This window comes from Homo sapiens, chromosome 4, assembly GCF_000001405.40.
Source record: "Homo sapiens chromosome 4, GRCh38.p14 Primary Assembly".
Classification (NCBI taxonomy): Eukaryota; Metazoa; Chordata; class Mammalia; order Primates; family Hominidae; genus Homo; species Homo sapiens.
Window position 1 is genome coordinate 69,144,519 of NC_000004.12, and position 6,032 is coordinate 69,150,550.

The window sequence follows — 6,032 nt, forward strand, 5'->3', positions numbered from 1 at the left end:
TATTTGGTTGTGTGCCTTTCTAGTAAATAATTATGTTCTGAAGCCGTATGTTTCTAACACAAACTTTATCATTTCTATTCTAAAATGCATCTCAGAATATAGGGACAATATAACTATATATATGACAACTTCACAGTTTTACTTTAGAAGTATGCATAAACTATACTATTCTATGTGGCATTACTTCTTTATAATGAAGAACATTTTTTCTCTGTAGGAAATGGAAGAATTTGTCCAGAGCTCTGATGAAGATGGTGTTGTGTTTTCTCTGGAGCCAGTAGTGCAAAACCTTACAGAAGAAAAGGCTGATCTTATGGCTTCCGCCCTGGTTCAGATTCCACAAAATGTCAGTAGAACCTCCAATCCTTATAAGAAGCTATTCACACAGTGGAGAAAGTATGGCTTTCCACCTGGAACTTGAATCTCATTTTTCAATTTGCATAGCAGGCACTAGATTTATGTAACAATTTGGAAAGCATTATGGTAGTGCATGTGGGCACAACTGATTATTTTCCTAGTGATCTTTGCTATTACTTTTGTAACACTTCTCTTGGATGTCATTTGTTTATAATAAATTAAAAATAAAGCATTAAGTCCCTATTTCACGTTGCAGGATTTGAAATCCTAAGACCTATTCTGATGACTTCAAAAGAAACTTCTTAAGTGTAATAGCTCAAAGGGACAGAAAAATTGGGGGATAATATAAAAAAGAGAAGAATCATGCTCAGTAGTATCCTCAACATATTTGATTGTATGGGAACTCTATTCAGTGTATTTGAACATAAAAGTAGGAGCTTAGATTTATGTAGTCTTTCTAATGAACTGGAGTTTTCTATGGTTAAAAGCCAATTATGATTTTAACATTAGAGGCTAACAATCTGCATGTAATACTTTATGATGTTCAATTAAATTTATTATTACTGTAATTCTAGATTTCCTCTCTTTAGTTAGTGATATTTATACACTAGCCTAGAGGGGTTTTTTTTAATTTTGTGTTTAGTTAAATTTCAAAACACTCAATAAAAGCAAGTAAACTAATTAGGAATGTGAAATTAGTCTTGATTATGAGATTCTCTTTTTGGGAGTTTAGAATAACTGTGTAATCCTTTGTTTTCAAGTGTAAGATTTTCATATTGGTCTCCAGAAAAAAAAAAGTAACTAAGGTACAAATACAAACAAAATTCAACATTGAGCAATGAAATATAAGTAACTTCTGTCTCTTTCTTTTTTAATTAAAAATAAATATATAAAATTAAGGAGAGAAGGAGGCTTAAAGAGAAAAGACAACCAAATATCCAAAACCAGAACAAAGCCAAAGCAATATTTGTCTCTGGGAAACTGTAAATTTGATAATAGAGCTAGAGTGGCCAAGTGATTTACATTTACACAGAAGTTGTGTGTCCATAAGGATATTTAATTTCCATATGCTGACTAATTAGCCAACACTGCTTTATTTTTTTGTTATTTTTATAATCTCACTCATAGAAGCTTTGAGTTTGCCATAAACAAAATAATAAATGGTATACTTAAGAGTTGAATGGTATCCACCCTTTTAAAAGGTGACTGTAAACAGTCCTACTATTTCTTCCAGTGATTACAAAGGAATCTTATATACCCCTGTCTCAAATATCATCTGAAATAGATTGGATTGTATGAATTATAATACCTCTGAAAACTCAAAATACTATTATCTTGTGGTTTAGCTTGTGGAATGCATACATTTTCTTCCTCAGGTTTTATGGAGATTCCAAGGAAAGAAACCAACTACATTAGGAAGCAATACTCAGCTCTATGTTTGGATATCCCAGAGTGATCTTCATGGTAAGATTATGACAAAGTAAAAATAAAAAATTTCATGAGGGAAAAATGTAATAACTAACATCTAATACATGTAACAAAAATTTAAAATTTATAGTCTGTTACTTTACCTTTAATTTTAAAGTATATATAATTAAAAAATTGGTCATTAATTTTTTGGACTCTTACTTTCTATTTTTCAAGTAAATTTCAAGCAATGCAGGAATAAATTAATGCCTCTTTTTCTTAAGATAGCAAATTTCTTTTGTAATAATGCCCTTTGTGTTCACTTTTGTAGAAAATTCTGCCCTCTTCAGTGCGTTATTTCATAGATTTTTACCCTACATGTCTCTGAAATTCTTTTAAGATACGATAATAAAAATCTTACTTCTCACTCAGTTCCCACACTAGGTCATCCCCAAACCCAAGCTTTTATCACTCAAGGTGATATAAATGAGATACATGAAGCTATTTACCATGCAGTCCCTATGGTGGGAGTTCCCATGTCTGGTGATCAGCCTGATAAGACCTCTCATATGAAAGCCAAATAAGCAACTGTGCAGGTGAACATGAATACAATTACACGGGCAGAATTGCTTAGGTCTTTGAGAACAGTTGCTAATGATCCTTTGTAAGTATTACTGCCTTAAAAGGCTTATCTACCTACCATTGATTATGTTATAATCATACTAGAAAATGTCAGGGGCCATACCTGAAGACTATTTAAAAGATATTTCCCCTCAATCTCAGGTCATTCATCATCTTACCATTGCAAGTCCTGGAAATGGTAATGCATAGAGTGTCAATCTTCCTTCTTGGAAACACTAGATTTAAATTAAGGACCAGCTTACTAAGTATTTTTCTATGTCTTCATTTTACCCATTCTGCTAAGAATATGCTTCTTTTTCAATTTCCCCACTGTAGCTCTTCAGTGCTATGCAACCAACAAAGTTAGTATCACAACAAGGATCAATCTTTTATTCAACAAGGTTTTGGATTGTATAATATATGCTATGGTTTACCTACTTCTTTTTAATGAACGCAAAACAAAACTCTCTGTTTTCCATGTGTGCTCTTGTTTTCCAGTTATAAACAGAATGCTATGAGATTATCAAGAATTCACCATGATCAACCTGTAAAGCCCCTGGATTGAGCAGTTTTCTGGATCGAGTTTGTCATGCGCCACAAAGGAGCCAAGCACCCTTGGCTAGCTGCCCACAACCTCTCCTAGTACCAGTGCCACTCTTTGGATGTGATTGTGTTTTGGCTGGTCTCCGTAGCAATTACTATATTGTTGGTCACAAAACTTTGTTTGTTTTTCTGTTGAAAATTTGGTAAAATAGGAAAGAAGAAAAAGAGGAAATAGATGTTTCCAAATTTGGGAAAGGCAAGAATGGAGCAATCTTGATAATTTTTCATCCACAGATAATTTAAAAAGAACACATTACTTTCTCTCCATTTCCATATTTTCCACTGTAATATTTTATCTTAGCTATATAGCCTGAAATTTAAACAATTAATCTCGGGGGGGAGTGTCGCATTCTTTTGTTGTATTTTCCTAGGCGATTTGATCCTTTTCTAATACATTGCTGACACAAGATCACTAACAATTCTAAAATGTCCTATTCATGATATCACTATTTTTATGATGTCACATTTTTTAAACCTTAGTTGATATGTTTATTCACAATATGCTGGTCCTCTGTAGTGCATAAATATGAACTGACATCAATAGATGTAAAGAAGTCAAAAGCATAAAATTCACAGGAGGCAATAGACTATACAAGTCATGGAAGTGTTCTATGATATTAGTTTGTTATTAAAAACATAACAATGTTCCCTTTTTGATAAAAATAAGCCATTTTACATAGCCAACAGTACTGGGCTTAGACCATGAATTGGTAATGATAATAATGATAGTGCATTACTCTGGAAAAGGTTTAGTATATTTCTCTAGAACTCATCTAGATATTATGGCCTACATTTCTGCCTTTAGTCCAATATTTTTTGTGTCCTCAATGAGAAAGAGATAGTTATCATCAATGTGTTCAAACAAAAGGGTAAGTGATCCTTTCTTAGGGAGAGAATATGTCAACAAGGTGATCAAGTTGAACAGATTATTTTAGGAGAGGTAACGACAGGAAACATTTTATTAAAAATACTAATTTTAAAAAACTTTGATCGTTTACTTGACAAAGATTTAAATGTCTTTATTAAATATGTATTTATTAAAGTATAATTCACTAAAAGAAAATAGATATTTACTTTAAAACTAAGATTATTATGTTGTTTTTCAGTCTCAAGCTTCTAGATATATATAAGTTCATTAAATAATTGCTTACATGCAAGAATTTAAGATATTAGAAAATCTGCATGACCAAGAATATATGGTATATTATAATAAATATGTTGCAAGGTAAATCTCTACATTAAATTAAATATTTATATTATAATAATCTTTACATCAATTTAAAAAATATGTTAAACTTATTATTTTCTTTAGTGTTTTATAGTCAGTGACATGCTTATTTAATGTTTTGAGTTCTGTATTTATTAAATAAATAAATAACCTTAATTGGCTTACTGAAAATTTTAAAATACTTATAAAATTAATAAGGTATATTTACAAATGAATTCCAATTGTAAAATGACTATATAAAAGAAAATGTAAATATTTTTTCTGGTACATGTATATGACTAATACACATACTAAAATATAATAATTAAATAAATTTATTTTCAAGTATTTAGAACTTTTTACATTTTTATTTTGATGTGTATTTTTACTTTTACGATTTTATTATAATCTGGGAAGCGCTGCTTACATCTCTTTTTAGGGTAATTTTTTCTTTGTAATTAAATGCAGCAATTGGCTAAGATGTTGTGATAGGTGGGAAGCCATCTCGATACTTGAGCCTTCTAACATTCTGGGGCTCTGGGTGGTCCTTTATGAGACTCCCTGTCACTAAAGAGCCATTGCTTATAAGACTTTCATTCTTCATCATTCTGGCATTGTGTTTTGAGATCAGCAGCAATCAGTATCCAACTGGCCTTCTGTTTGTAATATGTTCTGTCCTAACCATTTCATCCTTTTCCAAGAATCTACTCAGGATTGTTATCACCTCCTTGTAAGGAACTCCCAGCCTAGAGTCCCAAAACCCATGAAAAACAAAGAAAGAAATATTGAAAAAAAAGGATTTTTAATGAGAGATTGATGTTTATATGAGTTATCAGAGAGGAAAGCAAAATTTACATTTCTAATATGCATATACAAATTTTATGTGTATCAGATAGATTAAGACAGGAGTTTCCAACTTTTGCTACACATGAAAAAAATAGGGGAGTTTTTATTATAACAACACCAATGCCCATTTCTCATATTAATAAATAAAGAATATCTTTCAAAAGCCAAGAATTTGTATTGTTAAAAGATGTCTCAGTGATTCCAATGCATAGTGGAATATGGAAAACACTGGATTAAAGTCAAATTTTCAAAAGTCACAGAAAAGAGAGAATCTTGAAAATCGCAAGAGAAAAATGACTCATCACATATAAGTGAGTTTGAATAAGAGTATCAACAAGAACCTCAGCAGAAAACTTCCAAATCAAAAGTAAATGAGATGATATATTCAAAGTGCTGAAAGAAAAAGAAAAAGAAACCTGCTAAACAAGACTACTATTTGGCAGAATTATATCTTTCAATATTTATAGAATATTGAATACTTTCTACGATAAGAAATAAAACACCAATTGAAGAAAAGAGTCATTACAAGACCTGACTATAAGAGACCCTGTCCTTCAAGCTTAAATGAAAGGATGGTAGATATCAAAACAAAGGCATATACAAATAGAAAGCCCTGTTGCAAAGGTAAACATACAGTCCAATGTAGAGCTTTATAATGTTGATGTATAAATTACTTTCAATTTTGGAATACAATTTGAAAGACAAAAACATAAAAAACTATGAATCTATCTAAATAAGTCTATCTGAAAAAAGAAATATTACACAACATAAAAAGATATAATTAGTGACACCAGTAACATAAAATGAAGATAGTAGTAGAGTTTCCATATGTGATTGAAGTCATGTTTTGAACAATTCAAAATACATTTTTATAACTGTAAAATATTTTATGTAATCTTCACAAGTAACTAAAAAATATCCCTATAGAAGATACACAAAAGAACTAAGAAAAAAAAAACCCTTATGATTTAACAAGCACGGTGGTGTGAGG

At 30.8% G+C, this 6,032-nt stretch overlaps 1 pseudogene; it reads left to right on the plus strand.

The window, feature by feature from the left end:
- The first annotated feature begins 220 nt into the window (after positions 1-220).
- Positions 221-3,124, plus strand: LOC101060162 (UDP-glucuronosyltransferase 2A1-like; annotated as a pseudogene).
- Positions 3,125-6,032: the final 2,908 nt, after the last annotated feature.